The sequence below is a fragment of the Homo sapiens genome, chromosome 15 (assembly GCF_000001405.40).
Source record: "Homo sapiens chromosome 15, GRCh38.p14 Primary Assembly".
Classification (NCBI taxonomy): domain Eukaryota; kingdom Metazoa; phylum Chordata; class Mammalia; order Primates; family Hominidae; genus Homo; species Homo sapiens.
In genome coordinates, this window is record NC_000015.10 from 100,143,856 (window position 1) to 100,169,923 (window position 26,068).

General features: G+C 44.8%; 1 protein-coding gene across 17 annotated transcripts in view; it reads right to left on the reverse strand.

The window, feature by feature from the left end:
• The window catches only part of ADAMTS17 (ADAM metallopeptidase with thrombospondin type 1 motif 17), a 370,539-nt gene that overhangs the window by 172,419 nt on the left and 172,052 nt on the right, over positions 1 to 26,068 (reverse strand). For 15 of the 17 annotated variants that reach the window (XR_001751118.2, XR_001751120.2, XR_001751119.2 and 12 more), the window contains 2 exons: positions 11,325 to 11,465; positions 8,757 to 8,907 (listed from right to left, as the gene is read on the reverse strand). Coding sequence is in view for 14 of the 17 variants with exons in the window: in NM_139057.4 (NP_620688.2) it covers positions 8,757 to 8,907; positions 11,325 to 11,465 (292 nt within the window). In the remaining 3 variants the exon portion in view is untranslated. Of the gene's footprint in view, positions 1 to 8,756; positions 8,908 to 11,324; positions 11,466 to 13,836; positions 18,523 to 26,068 lie in introns of those variants that run through there. The other 2 variants (XM_017021980.2, XM_017021983.2) reach the window with 2 other exon arrangements.

The window sequence follows — 26,068 nt, forward strand, 5'->3', positions numbered from 1 at the left end:
CTTTGAGTAGGGAAATGATGTTTAAATTGATTGGTCTTAAAACAGCTATGAATTGCGAGTGGCAGAAGAACATACAGAGAGGACCAGTCAGAAAGAAGGTCCACATTTAAAATTCCACCCAGCACCTGGTCATTCTGTGCTTCTGGAGGCACCTGATGGAGCCTTCTCAGGGTATGTGGTGAATGCATAATTATAAAATACATAAGATAACCAAGAAAACAATTAAACTGGAAGTGTTTTCAAAATATAAAACATTCTAAATTTGTAATATAGTAATATATGCGTTTGTCAACACATAACAAGATCTGGCCCTGGGTCTACTAACCACCATCATTTTGAATTGGTGAAGAGTCTAAACAGTATTTTGAGATGTTGGCCACAATTTACATGGTATAAAAATATCTGTGATTCCGTGGCTGGGCGTGGTGGCTCACACCTGTAGTCCCAGCACTTTGGGAGGCTGAGGCGGGTGGATCACCTGAGGTCAGGAGTCTGACCAGCCTGGCCAACATGGCAAAACCCTGTCTCTACTAAAAATACAAAAATTAGCCGGGCGTGGTGGAAGGCACCTGTAATCCCAGCTTCTTGTGAGGCTGACGCAGGAGAATCGCTTGAATCTGGGAGGCGGATATCGCAGTGAGCCGAGACTGTGCCACTGCTCTCCAGCCTGGGTGACAGAGCAAGACTCCATCTCGAAAAAAAAAAAATCTGTGATTCCTAATCACAGTGGCAGTCACGGGTATGGCTAAGACTCCTGTGGTTTACCGGCAACATTCAGTATGGAAGAGAATACTAACTTCCACTAGAACTTGAAGAAAATGAAAAGTATAATCTCTTTCCTATCCTGGTTCACCAATTCTTTGAAATCTATCCAAGGACCCGAGGTGAGCAGTCCTGCTTTGGTACAATAACACACGCGTGTCGATGAGAAACGCCACCCCCGAGACCAGGGAGGCCTCTCCCTCCTGCCAGGGAACAGTGTGGGCTCATCTTGAGGCAGGCAAGCTATTTTCCTTCAGAAGAGGCAGCAGCAAAATGAAAACTGCCCATCACTAGTCATGATGGTATTTTTCTCAAAACATAATCTACCCAGTTTCTTTTCTTACTTCTCTATATTTCAGAAAAATAAAAAGCAAATGTTCAACTCCTCAGCACTGGTGTGGCTCACAGTTTTATTCCCTTGGCAGTGTCCAGCCTCTGTCATATTTCATCATTTTTTGTCTCATAATATACTTAAAGTTCTAGAAAATTTTAAGATAAAAGATAGACAAACATACACACACATCCCCCAAAACTGCTGCCCCATTAATGCTCAGGTGCTTTTCTAAGCTGCCCTCAGGCTCTGCACACAGCAACACCAGTGAGGGGCTTACCAGTTCTTAGCAACGGTCTTTGGGGGAGCCTAGGGCTTGGGAACATGAATGGTGTTCTCAATTCCTACATATGAATGGGGTTAAGAGAACAGAGTCCTCCAAATTTTTAGACTTTTAATTGCTTCACCCCTAAAACTCCTGACTATGAATATTTTTCTTTCGTTTTACAGCATCTAGCAAGTAGTAGTATTTTTCATATTAAAGAAGGCCAACATTGGTTTGAAGAATACTGCTGAGAATTTTGCATCAAAGTTCCCTCTGCAATAACTGCAGGCACCTTAAGATGTCACGACACCACTGGTGTGACTGCTAATGAGAAAACTGGACCATTAGTACTGTTTTTCTGGAGATATAGGATGGTCATGGGGCCTGCCTCACGAAGACACACATCTAAATTGAACATGTCAAGAACCCTAATGTAATGAGAATTGTATATGTTTATTAATAGAATGGAGTATAAATGGTTAATATGCATTTATGATCCATCCTGGCATGATCTGTTTCTAATGTGCTTAATCACAGGAATAAGCAATATATGAAGACATTTTCTTTTCTTTCTTGGCATATTAGCTAAAACTCTGTTGTTATTTATTGGTTGCTTTACTAAGTTGACATTCTAATCTTTAACGCATCACATTCTGCCTTTATGTAAGATTATTCCAGGCCGGGTACAGTGGCTCACACCTGTAATCCCAGCACTTTGGGAGGCCAAGGCAGGGGGATCACTTGAGGTCAGGAGTTCGTGACCAGCCTAGCCAACACGGTGGAACCCCATCTCTACTAAAAATACAAAAATTAGCTGGGTGTGGTGGCGCATGCCTGTAATCACAGCTACTCGGGAGGCTGAGACAGGAGAATCACTTGAACCTGGGAGGTGGAGGTTGCACTGAGCTGAGATCGAGCTACTGCACTGCAGCCTGGGCGACAAGAGTGAAACTCCATCTCCAAAAAAACAAAAATTATTCCACCTTGTATATAGTATAAAAACCGTATAATAGTATACAGTTATGTGTTGCAGGAAGTCAGGGACCCCAAATGGAGGGACCGGCTGAAGCCATGGCAGAAGAACGTGGATTGTGAAGATTTCATGGACATTTATTAGTTCCCCAAATTAATACTTTTATAATTTCTTATGCCTGTCTTTACTGCAATCTCTAAACATAAATTGTGAAGATTTCATGGACACTTATCACCTCCCCAATCAATACCCTTGTGATTTCCTATGCCTGTGTTTACTTTAATCTCTTAATCCTGTCAGCTGAGGAAGATGTATGTCGTCTCAGGACCCTGTGATAATTGTGTTAACTGCACAAATTGTACAGCATGTGTGTTTGAACAAATATGAAATCTGGGCACCTTGAAAAAAGAACAGGATAACAGCAATTGTTCAGGGAATAAGAGAGATAACCTTAAACTCTGACTGCCGGTGAGCCAGGCGGAACAGAGCCATATTTCTCTTCTTTCAAAAGCAAATGGGAGAAGTATCGCTGAATTATTTTTCTTAGCAAGGAACATCCCTGGGAAAGAGAATACGTGCCTGGGGGTATAGGTCTATAGATGGCCCCCCTGGGTGTGGTTGTCTCTTATGGTCGAGACTGCAGAGGTGAAATAGACCCCAGTCTCCCATAGCGCTCCCAGGCTTATTAGGAAGAGGAAATTCCCGCCTAATAAATTTTGGTCAGACTGGTTGCTCTCAAAACTCTGTCTCCTGATAAGATGTTATCAATGACAGTGGTGCCCGAAACTTCATTAGCCATTTTAATTTCACCCCGGTCCTGTGGTCCTGTGATCTCGCCCTGCCTCCACTTGCCTTGTGATATTCTATTACCTTCTGAAGTACTTGATGTCTGTGACCCACACCTATTCGCACACTCCCTCCCCTTTTGAAAATCCCTAATAAAAACTTGCTGGTTTTGTGGCTTGGGGGGCATCATGGAACCTACCGAGATGTGATGTCTCCCCTGGACGCCCAGCTTTAAAAATTTCTCTCTTTTGTACTCTGTCCCCTTATTTCTCAAACCAGCTGATGCTTAAGGAAAATAGAAAAGAACCTACGTGACTATCAGGGCAAATTCCCTGATAGTTATGCATCACTCAACAATGGGAATACGTTCTGAGAAATCCATCAGGCAGACCTTTCATTGTGTAAACATCATAGAGTGCACAAACCTAGACGGCATAACCTACTACACACCTAGGCTCTGTGGTGTAGCCTATTGCTCCTAGGCCACAAACCTGTATAGCGTGGTACTGTACTACTACTACTACACCACTGCCTGCTGTAGGCAACTGTAACACAATGGTATTTTGTGTATCTAAACATCGAAAAGGTATAAAAATACGGTATAAAAGGTTAAAAATGGTACACCTCTATGAGGCAGTTCCATCATAATCTCACAGGACCACCAGCACATATGCAGCTGATACTGACTGAAACCTCATGATGAGGCGTATGACTGTGCTTCCATTTCTCCCTTTCTGGCCTTTGTACGAATGTCATACCTTTTACTTTTATGTATGTGAAAAACCCTAAACTAATGTATTAGTTTCCTATGGCAAATCTGTATTAGTTTCCTATTGCTGCTACTACAAACTTAGTGGCTTAAAACAACACAATTCTCTTATAGTTCTGGATGTCAGAAGTCCAAAATCAGTCTCACTGAGCTAAAGCCAAGGTGTCAATAGGGCTGGTTCCTTCTGCGAGGCTGTGAGGTTTCCTCGCCTTTTCCAGCTTCTCATGGCTGTTGCATTCCTTGGCTCATAGCCCCTTCCTTGCATCACTCCGACTTCATGCTTCTATTGCTACATCTCTTATTACTCACCCTGATCTCCTGCCTCCTTCTTAGTAAGGACTCTTGAGTACACTGGGCCACCCAGATAACCCAAGAAAATCTCCCCATCTCAAGATACTTAGCCACACTGGCAAAGTCCTTTCACCATATAAAGTAACATTCATAGGTGCTGAGGATAGGACATAAAGATCTACCACAATTATATTCTTACTGTTTTTCATAAAACACAGTTGTTTAAATGATCAATGATCTTTTGAAGACTTTGAGTGTATCTAAATCTATCATATATTTGCCCACGAAATTACTACTTCCAGGGCTCTTCATTTCTTTGTGTAGATCCATATTTCCACCTAGTATCATTTTCTGCAGAAGATTTCCTTTAATATTTCTTATAATGTGGGCCTCTTGGTGATACATTTTTTTCAGTTTTCAGAAAAACTGCATTTCACATGTAATTTTGAAAGATATTTTTGCTGGGTATAGAATTGTAGGCTGACAGCCTTTTTTTTTTTAGTACTTTACAATGTTTCTCTGTTGTCCTTTCACTTACACTGCTTCTAATGAGAGGTGTACTGTCAGTTTTACCTTTATCTGTATATAACTTATCTGTTTTTCCTCTGGCTCCTTGAAGATTTTCTCTTTTTCACTACTTTCAAACAATTTCATTATATTGAGTATTTTTCTAGATTTCTTCATGTTTCTTGTGAATTAGGAGATGTGGATGCTGCACAGGTGGGCAGGGGAGGGTACCAGATTGTCATCTTAAAGAGGGTAGTCAGGGTAGGCCTCATTGAGAAGCTTATATTAAAAAAAAAAAAACAGAACTCAAAAAAGGTGACGGAATTAGTCATGTGGATAACTGGGAGAAGAGTGGCAGGGAGGAGGAAACAGCCAGCATGAAGCAACTGTGTCCCTGGTGGGGTCCGAGAAGAAAAGGAAAACCAGTACAGCTGGAATAGAGTAAGTGCAGGGGAGCATAGGGCAGGATGAGGCCCAGAAGGAAGAAAGGAGGCGGCACACGCCTGCACCAGGAAGGCTGCCTAGCAGGGAAGAATTGAGGGATAACAGCATATGTACGCTCTCCTGCCATACCCAACATCAACCACAACACAGTCCTACAAAAGCAGGGAAGGCGCAGACTGTTGATACAGCAGGGCCTGGAGCCCTGAAGTGTGGCACTGTCTTCACCTGGATTTGACTGATACATGTCCCAGGCCTAGGGCAGCATGCCCCAAATCCTTGGTTCTCAAAGGGTTCACAGGGAAGCATCTGGTCTTCTGCATTTTCTTCCCCAAAAGAGCGTGAGTGTGTTGGATAGAGTTCAAATAATCAGTATGTCAGTATGTTCAGTTCTTTGTCCTCCATTTTAAAGTTTAACTTCCTCGCAGTTTCCATAAACAACCTTTTCCACCAGTTTTAATCAGTAGTTCACATCTGTTCCCCTGGTCACCTGCTCCGTCCTGATTCATCCTGGTCACCTGCTTTGACCTGAGTCACCCCTGGTCACCTGCTCTGACCTAAGTCACCTTTAGTTCCCTGTTCCTCACCTTTTTTCCTGCCAAACTGCTCACCACACCACTCTGGCTTATACCCTTTCTCTCTTTGAAATAGCCAATCAGAATTAGCTTCGACTGTGTGGTCCAATCCTAGCCAAAAGGGGAATAACACAGCAGTAGGGGCTACCTGAGTCAGGAGTAAGAACCCCTTCCTCTCCCTTGTTCAGGTGTGCTCTCACCATTGCTCCATCCATGAGTCACACCTCCTATCTTTTGCTGAGAAAATTCTTTCAGTGCTAGTTCTTCTTTTCGGCACTGAGGAATAAGCATTTATTTCTAACAATCGTGACATTTTCTCCAGTGTGCACAGTCACTGCTACCCCACAGTCAGATTCCTCTAAAGAAAGTGTCACTAGCCTTGCAAGCAGGACAATCACCACTGACCAGCTGAGGCTGGTGGCCATGAAGGGGACTGTCATTCCATCACTCCCCTAAGAAATCCTTTCTGCTAGTTATTGGAGAGGAAAAAACACATTTATTTTATTGCTGGTGAAACTCTCGAGGCAAAAGCAAACAGGAAAACATATTTTGCAGTTCCTTGGGAGCCCAGGAATAAATGTTCAGCTTCAATGTAAAAGGCACGTGGGAAGATCTCACTTGATATGCATTTGGATTTTGAGCTTCTAGGGAGAAAGGAGTCACAAAGCTGAGGGAATCATTGCTTGTTGCCCTCTAACTGAATTCCTCTCATGAAAATATGATTCTGAAGGAAAATAAAATACCACATCCCCTGCCTCCTCTCTTTGGGGTCTATCTTTGAATGACAGTAGCTTTCCTTTCCTCCCTCAGTAACAGATACCCCTGGGCTCGCTTTCCAGCCCACCCCTTTCCAGCTGGGTGAGCCTGGCTTGTTTTCTAATCTCTCTTAGCTTCTATATTCTCATCTGTTAAAATGGGGTTAAAAGCCCTTGCCTTTGGGGTTGCAGTCAGGGTTGTGTGTGACAGTGCAAGGACAAAGTCCAGCCTGGGAGACTGTGAGTCCCCAGTACAAGTGCCTTCCTCCCTCTGTCCCTCCTCATCCAACCGGGATGCAAGTGCTTGGCTCCTAGAAGGGAAAATAGCTCCGGCTCTCATGGAGCAGGCAGTCTCTGCCCAGCCTCCACCACACTTAATCCTGCCCTGTAGGGCCAGCTCAGCCTGGCCCGCCACATCTCACTGGCCCTGCGGAGGACTCCACAGTGGGCAGAGTGACCACTCTGTCCCTTGGCTCAGCTGGGCACTACCCACTTCCCCAGCCCCAGTGTCTGGGGCCCTTTTCTCTGCCTGACATCCTCCCTGGTATCCCAACCACACAATCTCATGCTGTCTCCACATCAAGGGACTCCCTGAAACCTGCTCTTTACTGGCATCTCGGTGCCATCCGTGCACTGCAGGGACTGAGGAGGCAGACAGAATGCCTCTTGGCAGGCACTGTGCGTGTGCATAAGCCTTAACACTCAAGCCACACAGTGGCTGATGGTGAGTTTGGGCACCGCTGCAGGATGCTGGGGACGATCACATCCTAGGGCTCATCACATCTCCCCATGGAGGTGTCCTTCAACCCTGCTGCTGGGGGCAGGAGGTACAGGCATCCAGTGGGAGGCTGACATGGGTGACAGCTTCCCACTGGTCTCTGGAGGGGACCCTCGCAGGCGTGCTCCCCAGGGGAATGGCAGGGCAGAAGCAGCACTACAGTGTGGATAAACGTCCTTTGGGGAAACAGCCAGTAGGAGACAACAGCCTGGTTTTAAGGAGCTGCCCTTTTTAGCAACCCCAAAGGTGGCAGGCAATGCTCCAACTGCAGGTTGTGTCCCAATTTCCTAAACTAACTTATACTCAGACAGGAAGCACTCAAGAGGCAGCATCTGTCTCCAGGAGTCTGGGCTAATGGGCATTGGGACCGCATTCTGGAGGCAGCCTGCATGTGCCTGTGTGCTTTGGTGCTGCTCCCGAGTGCTTGCTCCAGGAACCTGCCCAGCCATCCACACATCCTCCTTGGGACCAGGTGTGCTTCTGAGTGCCAGTGCTGGAATAGCCCTCCCTCAGGCTGACCACCTGCTGCCTGGCTGCTGAGTTCCACATACCCCTGGCTGGTTCCCCTACTTCTGCCCTCCTTCTCCACAGGATGGTGCAGGTTCTGCTCCCCTAGCCCCGTCACTGCCAGGGCCAGGTGGACCACAGGCTCCTGGCCTTCCCCTGTGGCCAGGGCCTTCCCTGTCTGCTACACAGATGGCCACAGGCATGGAGACTGCCCTGCCCTGGGTACCCACATGCCCCTCTTGGCACCCCTCACCCATAAAACCAGCCAAGTCACAGACCTTGCTGTTTGCATCATGGTGAAAACGTGTGCAATCAGGGGTGAATGAGACTTGAGTTCAAATCCTCGCTCTACTACCTACTAACAAAGCCTTTTTCAATGTTTGCTTACTTTGACTTGGTGTTGTCATCTGTAAACCAGGGACAGGATCTCGGGAGCCATGGTGAAGACTAATTGGGATCACACATGTTGGAAGCGTTAGTACCAAACACTTAGGCATTGCTCAACAAGCGGTAACTGTTTAATGGGGTTATTATCATATAATCAATTTATTACTTGTTAAATTTTCCCAATTTGATACGCTCAAATGTTTAATAGTTTTAACCCTCTTGTTGATCCATGCAGTGTTTGAAGTCAGGCGACAGTGTCCTGCGTCTCTAGTGTCCTCAGGTTTCCATATTAAAATGTTAGGCTACCAGAGTCAGTAGTAACCCTGAAGGATTCCCCTGCAAAAGTGCCCGTGTGGGGGACTGTGTGTAGATGTGTGCCTGCAACTGCATGTGTAGGTGTGTATGTGTGTATGGCTATATGGGGTACACATGTGCAAATGCCTGTGAGAGTGTGTTTATGCATGTCTCTGTATGCAAACGTGTGTGTGCATATACATGTATACCTGTGCTTGTGTGTGTATGTGCCTGTGCTGAGTGTGAATGCCCATGTCCTCCAGCAGAAGCCAGACCTGCTGTGGGAGGGCTGGATCCATGCTCTGTCCCGAGCCAGCCCTCCCACGGCTGCTTACCTCCATGTTTCTGCAGAAGGTGGCATTCATGCCAAACAGGATCTGGCACTGCTCGTTGGCACTGTAGTGCATGCCCGGCAGCTTGTGCGGGAGGCGTACTGTGTGCTGGCTTCTGGGGTCCGTGACTAGCAAGCAGGTGCTGACTTTTGACCTGAAACAGCCGAGAGGCAAGTTGACTTGCAAATGTACTGCCTAGGTTTTTTTGTTTTCTTTTTCTTTTTTTTTTTGAGTTTTCAGTCACTGAGAAGAGGGCACCTCCACGTTCCTTATGGAAAAAGGACGCAGGCACTGGACACACAGACTGCGCTTTTTTGCTGTGCATTCCTCTTTTTCTACATGGCCAAATGTGAATCTTCGCTCTGAAGGTAGTAAGAACCTGGAGACTCGGGAGGGGCATAGGAACGACATCCACAAGGCTGATGGACTTTTACTGGGGAGTCTGAAAGCTTTCTTTGATGAAAATGATTTTGGAAGAGATTATCGTATTTTCTTAGACTATGGCTTTGAGCAAAAACTATCATGAATAAAGAACAAGTACAAGTTAGACTTGCTTTACTTTAAATAAAATCAAAGTGCTTATTTCCAACTCTTCAGGTTCTTTTCGAGTGCTTGTGGGACCTCGGTGTCTCACTTGACCACGCTATCCCTGAAAGCCACTGGCAACACTCGCCGAGGACTTCAGGATTTCAACTGGGGTGGGAGCATTCATTCACAGTGAGAGGCGCGTCTCTAAAAGAGTGAACTGGGGGCCGGGCTCGGGGGCTCACACCAGTAATCCCAGCACTTTGGGAGGCTGAGGTGGGTGGATCACTTGAGGTCAGGAGTTCAAGACCAGTCTGGCCAACATGGGGAAACTCCTGTCTCTACTAAAAACACACAAATTAGCCAGGCATGGTTGTAGTCCCACCTGTAGTCCCAGCTAATTGGAAGGCTGAAGCAGGAGAATTACTTGAACTCAGGAGGCTGAGGTTGCAGTGAGCCAAGATAGCGCCACTGCACTCCAGCCTGGGTGAGAGAGTGAGACTCTGACTCATAAATAACTAAATGAATAAGTGAACTGGGGATTGCGAGGCTCTGGCTCTAAAGGAGGTTACTTACTACAATGCTTTTATTTCTCAATTTCTAAAGGCAGATGGTTTAAGGCAGAAAACCCAGTCACTTGCCAAGATTCTTAAGGAAAGAGTTGCATGAACACAAGACACAGACTGATCCTGGTTTACTTCTGGGCTCACACACACTACTTGTCACCAGTGCTGTGTACATGAGCAAATAAAAACACCTGATCTTGGCCGGGCGCGGTAGCTCACACCTGTAATCCCAGCACTTTGGGAGGCCGAGGCAGGCAGATCACCTCGGATCAGGAGTTCGAGGCCAGCCTGGCCAACATGGCGAAACCCCATCTCTACTAAAAATACAAAAATTATCCGGGTGTGGTGGCACGTGCCGGTAATCCCAGCTACTGGGGAGGCTGAGGCAGGAGAATTGCTTGAACCTGGGAGACAGAGGTTGTGGTGAGCCAAGATCGCACCACTGCACTCCAGCCTGGGAGACAGAGTGAGACTCCATCTCAAGAAACAAACAAACAAACCCAACCCATCTCGTGGCCATGACCCTTCTGGGTGAAGTGAAATAACATCAAGGGGCTTACAGCATTTCCTAAGATCTGTGGTATCAAATACTCAGTGGGAAGTAGACTACATTAAAAGTAATGAGTGCATTGTTAAGCTGGTTTACCACTGAACAATTTCCCCATGAACAAGGAACGTCATGAAAAAAGACCCAGGATGGCACCTTTGCCACTACATCCTGAATTCGTCGGGTACTTGAATGTGCTACTGGACTGAGAAGCTCCATCTGCAGGTGAGACTCGCCGACTCACTGCTGTCTCCCAGGGTGCATGAATTCACACGGCTAAGTAGCTCAGTGACCAGGGCCTGCACAGTCACTCTGTAAACCCAACCCTGAGGTCTTGACACTAAGGGACAGGGACCGGCACCGTCCACAGGTACAGACTGTGACAAAGGTCTGAAATCAGATGGCAGATTCTTCCACAGAAATCTGAGAATGGAAGGGTGCAGACACCTTCTGGGAAGAAAGTAGCAGTGAGATAAACACAGCCCTCCCCTCCCCAGAGGTGAGGAAGCTGAGCAAACCCACCCCTCATCCCCCAGCAAATTCACTCCCTCTCTAGGCAAGCGGCCTTCATCTCCACACCAGGAAATGCTCCATTCCGCAGCGGCCCAGGGGCGCCCCAAGGTGACCACACGGTCACAACACTGCAGAGGAATGAAATGGGTTTCTTTTCAAGACAGGGTGACTATGTTGACATTTGAGTCGATCGGCAATTACGTAATGATCACCCACTGTGCGCCCATCGCTGGAGCAGATGCGCATGTGGGAGATGTCCTTGCCATTATAGGACACTCTGCGCTGACCGCCTCCTGAGGCTAGATGCAAATCCCAAAAGAGAGTCATTTCTCCACTTCACACTTGCTGAGACTCCAATACTTTTGTCTTTTGGAAGTACTTTTGATTGCATTCATCCTATAGAATAATTCCAGGACTTACTTGAGGAAGTTTTCAAGGTCATCTCGGCTGCAGGAGGACCAAGAGAGGTCACTTGGGTTCCGGCCTTTCACCCACTCTCCTGACATGATGTGGGACCTGCCAGCGCAAGATGAGTGGTCATCGTCGTGGTTCATGCCCAAGCTGTCCAAGAAGGAGGAGAGAGGGATGCTTATGCTACAAGCTTCTCATTTCCAGTTCCTGGTGCTAGCGGACCATGCTAAGGTAAATCAAGTCTTAAAAACAAAAACGGACGTAACGTGAAAGTGGTTCTCACACAGCAGACCCACAGTCATGTGTTTTCACAGAAATAGAGGGTGAGGATTTGCTTAGTGAATGAAGATAAATTGAGCAAATGACAGACACTAATAGCATTCACTAAATAACAATAAATCAACAAAGTATATTAACTCTGATAATTAACTGTGACATGATAATTCTTAAACTTTAAGCTTCTGATGGCTAGACTTGTTTTCTTACATTAAATATTCCAATGTTCATGGTTTTGGTGTTTCTGTTCCTTAGAGATAATCACTGTGCTAACGGGAATCACTGGGTACCATCCTAGACCTTGACTTACAGAATGATCTGAATCTAAGCCTTCCAACTCATTACAGAGTATGGCTTTTCTATCTTTCACATCTAACAAGATCACACCTGTCACCTTCCCTATTCAGCTATACCTGAGACATACCAGGATGCCTGTCTAGGCCTGGAGGGCTCATCACACTGTGAGCTGAACAGTGATCTTAGCTTATACACTTGCCCTCACTGGGGTGAGCCAAGACATGCAGCACGCAAGATCCAGTTGCCCAGTTTGCTGACCCAGAGTTCTTATGCCCCAACGTGTATAAGGATGACCATCTTTCAACAATCTCAGTGGAACAACGACAACAAAAAAGAACATGTACTTTCATTCATTCAAAAATATTAGACACTTTCCAAGTGCCAGGTAACGGACCACAAGGAAAAGACCTCAAATCACTGCCAGCTTGGGAGAAGAGATGAACACTGACACAGATAATGATAAAAGAGGTTTCTAAACTCTGCTCTAGAGCCATGTTTTCCTAGTTTGCTCATAGATATCTGACCATCTTCCGTCAGCAACCCTGCTTGTTGCCTAATGGTGGTGTCTCCCCAAAAGAAACCCATCCTGTCTTCTCTGCATGCCTGCAGGCCACCCCCACACCCTTTTGCCTACAGAGATGCTCCCTTGGCCAACTCCCACGTGGAGTTGGATCAGCTAAAGTCACCCATGTCCTTTGGAGGATCCGCTGCCTGGCGCTCATGTGTTCTGGAACTTTGGGCTAGCGGGGCCCTCTCTGATCACCCACATGTGACTTCCCCCGTCAGTGGAGGGGGGGCATCCTTACCAATCTTCCATTGTATTTATTCTTAAACCTACTGATGTCAGTGACACTTGTTATTTCAATTCATACATGTGGCTACATGTTGGGTTAACCAACGAAATATGGGGACAAACACCAAGTTGTTGTTCTCATGAAAACAGATTTAGCCAGTAGCTAAGATAGACTGCTGTCCAACTGGGTGTGGGCAAGACAACTGTGAAAGATGAATAAATCATAAAAATCTGCTCCAAGGCTGCTTCACAAGTCTTTTACAATCCTTTTTATGTGTATACAAACACACACACACACATGCACATATAAAAGAAACTAGATTCAAACTCTTATTATAGGCATGCTTTGTGTGAGGAAAGTGTATTAGTCCATTTTCACACTGCTATAAAGTGTTTCACACTTGAAACTGGGCAATTTTTAAAGGAAAGAGGTTTAACTGACTCACAGTTCTGCCAGGGAGACCTCAGGAAACTTACAATCATGGCAGAAGGTGAAGGGGAAGCAAAGACCTACTTCAAATGGTGGCAGGGGAGAGAAGCACAAGCAAGGAAAATGCCAGATGCTTACAAACCCATCAGATCTTGTGAGAACTCTCTCACTGTCACAAGAACAGGACAGAGGAAACCACCCTCATGATCCAATCACCTCCCAGCGGGTCCCTCCCTCGACACATTGGATTACAATTCAAAATGAGATTTGGGTGGGGACACAGCCAAACCATATCAGAAGGTGACATGGAAGTCCAATTGGCAGACACCCGTCCTCAAAGAAGAGGCTTTCCCTCTCCATTACAAAATTGTTGAAAAAAACTAATGTTTTTATAGCTTAAGTTAAAACAAAATGTCTAAGGCACTTACATATAATGTCTTGTTATTTCTCCACTTGAATCAATTTTTTGCTTAATTGCTCAAGTGACCAACTAGAGTCATTTCTGAAAAGGGAGTGTCTGCATCGCCACCTAGGTATAGATGGCCATATTTTCGCGTGGTCTGGACTGCTATCAACCTCAGACCCTCCTGACTGGAGGCCCACAGGCTCTTCCAACTCACCCTATTTTCTCAGGGCAGCAGAAACTGGTGCAAAGCGAGCATTTGGTAAAAATATTTATTGAACGAATTATCTGTTTAATAGCAAAGAAAGTGCCAAAAAAATACCGGACAACTCATATCCATGACAAGTGTGTTGATCTGGCGTGGTGGCAGACTGCTTGGCAGAATGGCAAAAGTCACCTCTCGTTAGATTCAGTCTCGTCCTCATGCCTCAGTGTCAGGTATCTATCCAATTAGGGTTAAAGGAAGACTGAAGAAATTATCAGACAAATATGGCCAGTGAGAACAGTTTAGCTATATTCTTTTTTTTTTTTTTTCCTGAGATGGAGTCTTGCTCAGTCACCCAGGCTGGAGTGCAGTGGCAGAATCTCGGATCACTGCAACCTCTGCCTCCCGCGTTCAAGCTATTCTCCTGCCTCAGCCTCCCGAATAGCTGGGACTAGAGGCACGCGCCAGCACGCCTGGCTAATTTTTGTATTTTTAGTAGAGACAGGGTTTCACCATGTTGGCCAGGATGGTCTCAACCTCTTGACCTTGTGATCCGCCCGCCTCGGCCTCCCAAAGTGCTGGGATTACAGGCGTCAGCCACTGCTTAATGGTCACTTTGTTGAATAAAGTGAGTTCTATTTTTTCAATGCAATTACTCAGCTTTTTACTTTACTTTTGGGTGAGCAACAGAAAATGTTTACTTATACACAAGTGCATGAGAAAGCAATCTCCATTCAGCTTTAAAAAAATCCTGTTACAAATAAAAAAGATTTTAAAAATATATTCATCCTTGGCACCAAAAAAATTCTTTTTACTTTCACTCTCAGTATGAATTCTTTTTTTGAGGTTCATTTTCTTTAACTGTATTTCACAGTGGTAAAAACACTTCACATGAGAGCTGCCCTCTGAAGTTTTTAAGCTTACAATACAGTATTGCGGACTACAATTGCAATGCTGTTCAGCAGCTCTCCTGAGCTCCACTGAAACTCGATGCTTACTGACGAGCAGCTCCCCCTTCCTCCTCCCTCCAGCCCCTGGCAATACAAGCCCACTCTTTGATTCTATGAATTTGACTATCTTAGATGCCTTATGTAAGTGGAATCCTGCAGTATTTTTCCTTCTGCAACTAGCTTATTTCATTTAGCATAAAGTAACGGATTAAGTTTTAAAATATATATGAAGCTCCTACAACTCAATAGCAAAAAAACTAACAACCCAGTTAAAAATGGGCTAAAGACTTGAGAAGACGTTTCTCTAAAGAAGACATACAAATGGCCAGCAGGCACGTGAAAAGATGCCCAACGTCACTAATCATCAGAGAAACACAAATCAAAACCCTGATGAGATACCACCTTACACCTCTCATGATGTTTACTATGAAAATACAAAACATGACAAATGTCTGTGAGAATGCAGAGAAATTAAAACCCCTGCATGGCGTTGGTAAGAATGCAAAATGGTATAGATGCTATGAAAAAAACAGTATGGAGGTTCCTCAAAAAATTAAAAATAAAACTACTGCATGATCCAACAATTCTATTTCAAAATATTTACGCAAAAAAATTGAAACCAGAATCTCCAAGAGACATCACTCCCACGTTCAGTTACAGCATTATTCACAATAGCCAAGATATGAACCCAACCTAAACAGCCACTGATAGATGGATCAATAAAATGTAGTCTATACATACAATGAAATATTATTCAGTCTTAAAAAAAGAAATTCTGCGATATGCAACAACATGGGTGAACCTTAAGGACTTTATGTTAGGTGAAATCAGCTTTTTATTTTCTTCTACCTGGTAGCTTTTTCTTTCTCTATTTCATGTTAACTGTTAAAGGAACTGACTGGTTTTTCAAGTATGCTTAGCAAAGGACATTAAAAGTCAACTATCTTAAATTTGACTTAGGGTTTGATTTTCTTTCTTTAAATAAAACTGGTGAGAGAGTTTTTAAATGAGCAGGTCTTCTGAAAGTTTTGATGGATTTCAATGAACTCCGCCAAATGTACAGAGGTTATAGAAATAAAATGTCTCATGAAAAAAGTGGCTCCAGCTGCCACCTCATGGTGTAACCATTGCATGTGGACCAGGTCAAATTGCTATCTCCAGCCTTGGCAGGCATGGTCTTAATCAGCATTAACAATGTCTCTTCATAAGGGTCACAACTCACAGACCCTGGAGTCCTAGTCTGAGTCACAGACTAGAGTCTCTACTTGGAACATGATCTTGCACTTGGAAGCAACGAGGCAAATGCAAGGCCTTCATTGTATCAACGATGTGAAACATTCAGGAATGTAAGCCTAAGAGAAAGGAACGTTTTGCCTCTTTAAGAACATGCATAGTTTCAGGAAGCCACAGGGTCTGGAACCATGAGCTGCGTTCTGGGGAAAATCATCTGGGAACTTACACAGAGGTTGCACTTGCCTGGGTCACTGCCCCTCAAATACCCCACTCAGAAAACCCGTTTCTCCTGGAATGGCCCCCCAGTAAAGAGGGTCTCATCAGCTGCAGTGTCAAACGTTACAAAATTTGCACATTCACCAAATGGATACAGCATTATCTTACTTTGAGAAATATTCAAGTCCCTTAAGAAAACAACTCTCCCTGTAGGCATTCTCTAAAACCTCTTTCCCTACCTTGGCCAGGATCAGAGGCATCTCCCACCTCAGGTAATGAGAACTTTTCAAACCTGGGGCACAAGTCGATGGAGGATCAACACATGAATTAAGTATTCTAACCGTGCACTTGGACAAGCTGCTCCCATTCTCCCTGGCTGGGATCTCCTGGGCAGCTACCAGAAGGGTTTTTCAAACATGGATGTTGCTTGGAAAACCACAATGGGAGGAGACTCAAGCCCTGGGAGGATGGTCTCCTCATTTATGGAAGAAAATTTCATGAGCTTTCTCAGTAGACAACTTGGTTATCAAATGAAAGGGGCTCCTTCTTCCCACAGGGCCTCTTCTCCTGGCCAGAGAACCTGGTGATTGAGGAGACACACAGGATGGTTACAAAAGCGCTTGGAAAAGATGGCTGTGCTGTTGGCAACTCCATATTCCTCACAGGGATGTGGCCAACCGAAGCACACCACGTCCAGTGAGCGTTTCACTCTGCCGGCCGAGAGGACTTCCCCAAGGAATGTTCCAGTCAGCAAAATCAGCCGAGTGGGATTCTTGGGTTTCTGGAGTTTGTCTCTAATATAGATCACGCTTGATCTCCTTTAAAATGTTTACATGCCAAGCGGCTCATCACTTTACAGTTTGATTAACCAGCATTAGACCGGGAGGAGCCTTGATACTTGAGGCTGACATCAACTACTGTCTAGGCTATTTTTAGTTTAAATTAAAGATTACTTTGACTGAGAAACTCATATTAGTTTAAGTTTATGTCCCAGGGCATTTATTATTTCTGGCAACATTATATTTAACGAAAACGTGTGGCATTAAGTATGCCCAGTAATTTTAACTTTCAGTGACTGTGGGGCTGAGGGCACAGATGGGCCTTGTGTCTCACGTGGCCCAGCTTTATCAGACACAGTCATAACTTCATGGCCTTGACTTGATTTTATCTTAAAATAACATGCTGCTCTGTATTTGTTTTGGGAGACACAAAGCACACCGTGCGGCGAGTTCTGAGAGGATTCCCACAGCACTCGACCCCTCCTGGCTTCCGAATCTCGCAGGACATGAGTAGGTGTTCTAGACGGAACCTCTGCCACTCTGGAAGCTTCAGCTTTACCTGGCTCTGACCGTACCTGTCTCTCAGAAGCTTTGGGATTTTGATGTCAGGTGTAGGCGTCAGGTCCGGCCTCACCTCAAAGTAGTCTTGGCTGAGTCTGTGGAATGAATCCCCGGAGTGGGATGAAGAGCTTGGGCTCCCGTGAACACAGCCTCTCCATGGAAGGCTGACTCCAGCCCTACTTTCATAGCCCTGTGGGGATACTGCCTGGCAATTCCTATTCAATAGATGCTTATTGACTTTGCAGTAACTGGAATGGCCCATGGCAGTTTCTAAGAAATAGTGGGCAGATGTGTATTTGTTATTGCTAATCAACATAACAATAATTAACAGGCCAGCTCTGCACCAGAGGGGAAATTCTCCAGTCAGTACTTCTTGCCAAGGACCAGATTGTGCCCCCAGTCTTGAGCTACTCAGAAATGCTACCTACAAGATTAAATGCCACTAGGGGATAACAGGCTGCACTCATTTACAGGTAGAAGAACAGGGTCAATTTCCATGATCATCAATAACCCCCTTTACGGAGAACAAAACAAATAGGCAGCAATAGCATCAAAAGCCTCTCACTGCGGAGAAGGTATTTGTTTGTGTTTTGTACAGAAAAATGAGCCCACCAGCTTTCAGGGATTCAGCAATAAGGCGAACCCCAGAGTAGACTGGGGGTCGCCATAGATTTAGCTGTACTTCAAATGCACATAGTACCATGTCAGTAAGAATCATCCTAAAACAGTACAAACTTCGGAATCACCAATGGATAAATAATGACCAATATAGTGTTGGTGTTCAGTGTATTTTTCTAGAATAGACAACATCATAGCAGGTAAATATGGATAACACTCATACAATACACACAGCCTCTCTAAGCTAACCAGAGGACTGAAGTGACAAGCAAGTACTCAATTCTTGAATCTATATACATGGGATTTTGATGTAAGGTGCATGAGTCAGGTACAGCCTTCAGTCAAAGTAGCCTTGCCTGGGTTTGTGTAGACATATATACGTACATGTAAGTGTAGGTATATACCTGTCCTATATACCTATATATAACTATATAGTTATATATATGTTATATATATAACTATCTATATGTGTATATATGTGTATATATAACTATATAGTTATATATACACATATAGTTATATATATGCACATATACACATTATATGTGTATATATATGCACATATACACATTATATGTGTATATATATGCACATATACACATTATATGTGTATATATATGCACATATACACATTATATGTGTATATATATGCACATATACACATTATATGTGTATATATATGCACATATACACATTATATGTGTATATATATGCACATATACACATTATATGTGTATATATATGCACATATACACATTATATGTGTATATATATGCACATATACACATTATATGTGTATATATATGCACATATACACATTATATATAGGCACATATACACATATATATACATATGCACATATACACAGTATATATGCACACATACACATTATATATATGTGTATAACTATATATAGTTATATATCTGTGTATATATATAACTATATGTATATATATGTGTATATAGAACTATATATGTATATGTGTATATATATAACTATATATGTATATATTTGTGTATATATATAACTATATATGTATATATATGTGTATATATAACTATATATGTATATATGTGTATATATAACTATATATGTATATATATGTGTATATATAACTATATATGTATATATATGTGTATACATATAACTATATAGTTCTATATAGTTCTCTATAGGTATATAGGACAGGTATATACCTACACTTACACGTACGTACATATATACACACATACATCTCCATACATTTACAAGATTCACATCAAGTAGGCTTTTAACTTTTACCAAAAATTCAACTTATTGAGACAGATAAAGAGAGACAGAGAGAATGAAGCACGGGAGATTCTGTCCCCTATTCCAGTCAGCAAGCGTGTGTTTGCTTGTGCACACTGACACCCTGAGAGTGTGTGAGATAAAGCCATGTATCCACCCTTCTCTTGGGGTTTCTTGCTGCAAGCACCACCCCATGCTGAGGGTGACTCTGGTGCTTCATGATCCACATTTTTTTTTATACAACATGGGCAGGAGGTGTGGAGTCTTAATATTTGAAATCTAAATTTTATAATTTTAATTAATAGACAGGGTCTCACTCTATCACCCAAGCTGGAGTGCAGTGGCATGATCACAGTTCACTGCAGCCTCAAACTCCTGGCCTCAAGTGATCCTCCTGTCTCAGCTTCCCAAGTAGCTGGGATTACAGGTGCACGCCACCACGCTTGGCTAGTGAAGTTTAAATTCTATCTGATGCTCTAAGAAATGGCTGCTGTTTCCAACAGTGGCAGGAAATCTGGGTATGAAGGATGTAGACAGACACAGTTGAATATGGTAGCTCCTAGGAAGTTTTCAAAGATCATTTGGACCATTCTATTTTCACCTTTCACCCTTACTTTAGACTCTCGCTCTGTCAAGGTGCAGTGCACTGGGCCACTACCACTTTGTCTGAGCATTTCACTTATTTTACCAGTGTGTCTTCACAGCCTCCAGATGTAACAGGGATAGAAGCGGCCATCATCTCCCCTATTCTTGCTGAGCACCTTTGAAGGCTGTAAGAGTAGAGTGATTTGCTCAAGTCATGCAGAAGAGCAGAATCTGCACTCCTAGCTGGCCTTCTTTCTCTGAAACCATCTTTCCCAGACAAGTTAACAGTATCAGGCACCAGGCGCTAGCTGCTTAGTCTCCCGTATTCAGCACACCCTCCTCCACCCCTGCACTCCAGGGACACGTGCATACACAGTGGCCAGCTCAAAGTCCCAGCCAGCCTCCAATGTCCTGATGGCTTTGATGAGAAGGTGTCAGCAGCCAGGGAGGATGATACAAAGTACTCCTTCCCATCTAGAAGCATCCCTGGCTTTGCAGTCAGACCAACCTAGAAGAAAATGTCAGCTCTGCCTCTTGAGAAAGAAACATACCTCTGAGCCTTAGTTTCCTCATCTATGACTAAACAGGGATAATAATACTGAATGTCATTCATTCATTCATTCAACAAGTATTTGTTGAACGCCTTCTGCATGCCAGATCCTGTTCTAGGCACTGAGAATACAGAGTTTACATTCTCTAAGGGAATAGGGGTCAGGGTCACATGCGAAAACAGCCACCAAAGTGCCTGGCAGTAGTAGGCACAGTGGAGAAGAATGGCCTTGCTTCTGCTAAGCACACACATTCGCTTGAGCAAAGCAAGTTGCAGCCCCTCGAGCTGAAAACTCAGGTGCTCTCAGAGAGCTGTGGCCTAAGGAGGGAAGTCATACTATAAGGCAGGTGGACTGGCGGGGAAAGGAAAAGTTCCCACCCCACTTCAACGCCTTTATTCCCGTTCTTTCTCTGCAATGAGCTAAGAGAACAACACGTCTGTTCTAGCAGATGTGGTTTAGGGACTGTGGTAAGACTCCTGGAGTAAAGCTTAAGTCTTAGAGGCCCACTGTTCTTGGTAAGTGGCTACCCCCATCCAGGACTGCAGATGCCCTCAGGACACCTCTGAAGGACAATCACTAATGACCACTCATCTATACCATGTGTTGCTCTCCATAGGAAGGGGATGAAGATGGTGGCCTAGGGCACAGCCTCCCATTCTTTTTGGCTCCCAACAGTAGATCTAGGTTTGAATGCGGCAGGTCACACTCCTCCTTGCTTCAGAGTGTATGCAGTAGCCTGGACTTGGTAAAAGCTCAAGGGACATTGGACTATAGGGCTGAAGCTCCTGCCATCTCTGTGAAATGCTGTTTTCTGGTCCTAATAGATTCCATGGGCTCACCAGCTCCTGCCACTCTGATCTTGCTCCCACTTGACAAAGACAGTCCTTAGGGAGTGAGCTGGTCTCACCTTTCTCCACTCCATCAGCTCTCAGAGCACAGCTGGACACAGGACTGGGATCAATCAATGGCTTGACATGAAAGCAGCATATGAGCACCTAGGTCTATGTAATGCACCATCAGCACATAGGACAGAGGATACCCACAGCGTGCCTCCCCCCAATGCCTCCTGGGCATGCCATGGCTTCATGATAGGATGGTCCCAATATGAACACGCAATGACACAGGCTCCCAAATGAGTGGCACCTGCTTGGGAGGCTCCCATTCTCCTTCCCACAATGTCCTCACTGCTTAGAGCATCCAAAAATGCATCTAGAGCCAATGCAGGCAAACGGCCTTATGACTTGAATAGACTCTGAGTTAAAGATTTGAAATATTTCACAGAAAAGAAACCCATGAAGTTATGTTAGTTTCTGACCTGAGAAACCATTCTACTGTGAGGGGCTGTGCTAAAGCTGATTCCAGTTAGAAATTGTGAAGATGTTTAGAATGATGCCATAATGATGGAATAAGAATATAGCCTCCCCAGGTGATATGAGGGAACAAAGCCAGTTCAGGTGAAAAGGCTGTAGGATGTTAAGAAGAACCTCTGCCCCCCCTCAGGACAAATAGAGGGAGTAGAAGCAATGAACCAATTCTTTTTCCTTTCTCTCTTTTTTGTTTTTTTTTCCAGAATGGCCTTGGGTATTTTGAGAATTTTATTCTTCCCTATGATTTTAGCTTGTCAAATTCTATAAAAAGTCATTCTAATTTGAGATTGCACTGAATACACTGATTACTTTGGGGAGAAATCACATCATTAGAAGTTTGAGTCTTGCCATCTTAGGACATAGGGCACCTCTTCATTTTGCCAGGCTTTTTTTGAATGACCTTGGCAAATGTTTTTAGTTTGCATCATGACGGTCTTACATTTCCTATTAGCATCATTCTTGGGTATTTCATATCTTTGGTTGAAACCGTGAATAAGATCTGCTTTTTATTCTATTGTAATGATTGCTTGTACTTAGGAAAACTACAGATTGCTGCATGTTGGTCTTATGATACAATACCATGATGAACATCTACTGCTTCCAATGGCTTTTCAGATGATTCTTTTACAATATACAGGCAATTCTCATTTTGCTTCATCCTTTTCTATATTCCTTATTTCTTGCCTTATGAAATTGAACAGGACTTCTAAAATAATATTAAATATCAGTTACAACATGGGCACCTTTGCCCTGTTCCCATATCGACTGGAAATGCTACTAATGTTTGCACACTGAATACATTTGCTCCAGATTACTCATAGGTAGGTAACCCTGATGAGGTTAAGGAAGGTTTCTTGTAAATAATCATTTGTAAAGCCTTCCTTGCTGCTACAGTGCAATAGTCCAAGGAGAAAGAGATCATGGTTAAAGACCTGACAATAATTATTATGGGGATGTTAAGCAAGGTTCCTAAACTCCTGGGCTTGTTTTCCTAGCTGAGAGATGAGGGGCATGAACCAGGTGGCTATTCAAAGGTTTCCAATCTAGAAGGGAATAACTTCATGATTCTTGATCTAGAAGGCTGGGCACAATTTAAGGCGTAGTTGTTCTTCATTCTTTCAAGAGTAGATTTTGCACCATCTTGCACCAGGCATTTTGCAGAGCACCAGGCCCATAGCAGTGAGTGACACACAGCCTCTGCAGGAAGCCCATGGCCTGGTGGGGATCACAGAGAAATCAGCAGGCTATTGGTATGTAGCCTAGGCCAGTGCTGTTCAATAAAACTTTCTGCGATGACGGGAAAGTCTCTATGTGGGCTGCCTGATATTGTGGCCACTGGCCACGTGTGGCTACTAAGAGTTTGAAATGTGCTAGTGTGACCGAGGAACTAATTTTTAATTAAGAGAAATTTAAATAGGCACAAGTGACTAACTGCTAGCACCCAGACCACACAAGCCTAAGTGAGAACCTGATTGGCTAACTTGAGGTGGGAGCCCTGGATATCACCTCATTGGATATCATCATAGCATATCTTTGCCCACAAATTACTCACAGATACTTGGAGAAATAACCCAATCTCATAACACAGCTGGAGAACAATTAGTGGCCAGGTGTAGACATCAGGAGCTGAAAGCGTGGGCATTCAGAAAAGGGAGCCCTTTGCCTGTTATCACGTACTGACTCTTCACGTGATCTTAATTTACACCCAGTTTACCCTCCCAGATGGTCGTGCGGATGCCGTCATCCGTGAAAACCCTCCCAATTCCAGGGCTGCTGTGGATTTCTTAGACTTGAAGAGTCAGAACCAAAAGCTCTTTGCATCCAAGTGAAGGAGAAACCACCGGGCTGCACTGTGTGCTGTGGACAGTGACAGGATGCTGGAGAGCAAATGTGACCTCAAGCAGGAAGGGGGACCCCCGAGGCACCTTCCTATGGATGGCATGCAGTGTAATTAAACCTGGGATCTTCTCAGTTTCTAATGAATTTAGTCAAAGAATGTGCTTTCATCTGCTACAAAAGCGCGTATGGCGAAATTCAATGCGGCAGAGCAAGGGAGATAATTATGGGAAAAGGTCTTGTGAGGCTCTCCTTAGGTTTTTAGAGGACGATAATTTATGCAGAAAACCTAATTTTTACTTAGGAAGACAAATTTATGAAAGCACTGAGCTCTTTTGAAACTACCCATGCACGTGATGAATGTCACAGGGCCCGAGCTGCTCTCCCTTCTGGGGCCTGCTCTGGCCCAGGACACAGAAATGCTCCTGGCAAAAAAACCCAGATGACCTGCCAGAAAGTGGCGAAGCCGTGTAAACCTCCCACTCTAAACACCGCAGGACGAACAAGGCGGGTACGTGTTGGCTTTCTGGGACTCCTGTTCCCCCTTCAAGTCTGCGGCGGGCCTTCCTCAGGCCCCACTGTATCTGTTAGAGGCAGGTGTGCAGACAGGGAGGGCTCCGAGGATGCAGCTCATGGCTCCATTCACCTCTCCTGGTCTGCCAAGGGTGCACTGCGAATGACGGGAGGAACCACCTCCTGGATTTTGGTTTCAGGGTGGCTCTATCAGAAGACCACGTGCACGGCTTATTAAGCAAGAACACAGCAGAGCTGAAGAGTACAAAGTGCTTCTCTTTAGAGAAATGTACTCCCAAGGCTCTGCCAAGGAAAGACTGCTGGAGCAGAGCGCTGTCAGTTATCATGGAACTTTGTTGAAGGAAACAGGGCGATTTGGTGAGAATAAGAATATGCTTTCTGCTTCTGAGCCTAGAGAGTAATTCATCTAATGGTGCTGCAGACACAGGGCTGGGACAGGGCAGGAAATGGAAAGATGGCTAAAAGCTCCTGAAGATGAAAACCCCAGGCTAACAGTCAACCCTCCAGGTGTCGAGGAGGAACTTGCTGCTAACAGTGCGTAGCAAAAATCATGTGTACGTGGAGAGCAATTCCTCAGTTTTAGGGAAGTCTACAGCCACTCCAAGTCTTCAGTATCTGTTTCTTGCGGAGTGCTACAAGGCAAGCACATCAGAAGGTCAAGGCAAATCTCCCCACTCAATGCATCCTCTGGGGTCTGCAACCCCAAGCTCTGCGGGTTGGGGGATGTGATTCTTTCCCTTCCCATCCCCAGCCCCGCAACAATGTCCTGCACCCAGGCTGTCTGCTCCTACCCTCCCGTTGATGTCCCTGATTCAGAGGACCCTCCCCTTGCCCCCCAGGTGCTTTGTATTTTAACATCATCTGCCTTAGCACATTCCCCGGAGGGGCGACTATAATGGCAGATGTGTTGGGCATCGTGGTGGCCAGCGCGGTGGTGGTGGGGGCAGGCACGGTAAAACTGACGGTGTATCACCACTGTGGGCTGTGTTCATCATATTCCCTTAGAGGTGGGGATTCATACACTCCTGGTCTGTGAAGGTTGCTACTCATTCAGGTCAGAGCCTCGGGAAGCCCAAGGCATTCAGAGAACCTGAACAGATACCCTAAATTTCTTCCATTCATGCTCTTATCCATCCACCAGCACAGCTTCCACTGCCCAACACATGCCAGGTATGACGCTAAGCACTTGTGTGTGCACATGGAACATGCCCCTGAGGTACAGGCAAAGGTGGAGCCACCCCTCAACACAGATGCTAAATGGGATGCTGAGAGTGGGAACAATATTGACAGAGCAGAGAAAGGAAAATACTCTACAAGGGGCACTCATGCCCACCAAGTGGGGAGTACCTGGGAAAGAGAACTGTTTTCAATGTGAAAATCACTACTCATTACATATATCATCTCATGAATTATTATTATTCCACTTCACAGATGAGGGAACTGAGGCCAGGAGAAGTTGGGAAGCTTGCCTGAGGTAACTGGCCAAGCACAGCTTGAGCCCGGGCAGCCCATGCATTGAACCTCCATACACGGTGCAGTCACTGAGGATGCAATTGCCCCCACACTCAATCGAGAGCAAAGAACCGGCACCTGCTAAGCTGTGCGGAAGTGGCCACGTGGAGGCTGGGAGCCCTCAGGTACTGTGAACTGCATGCTCGAAACCAGCAGGAAAATCCCTCTTGGGGTTAGAGGTGGAAAGCCGGGGGCATCTGGTCACGGGGCACTGGGACTCGCCTGCAACACAGCGTGGATGTGGCTTTGGGGAGAACAGGTGTTGAGAAGCAGCTAAAATCTTGGACCAGCTTGAAGCAATGACACCTCTGTTCTCCGGGGCCACTCCCGGGGGCAC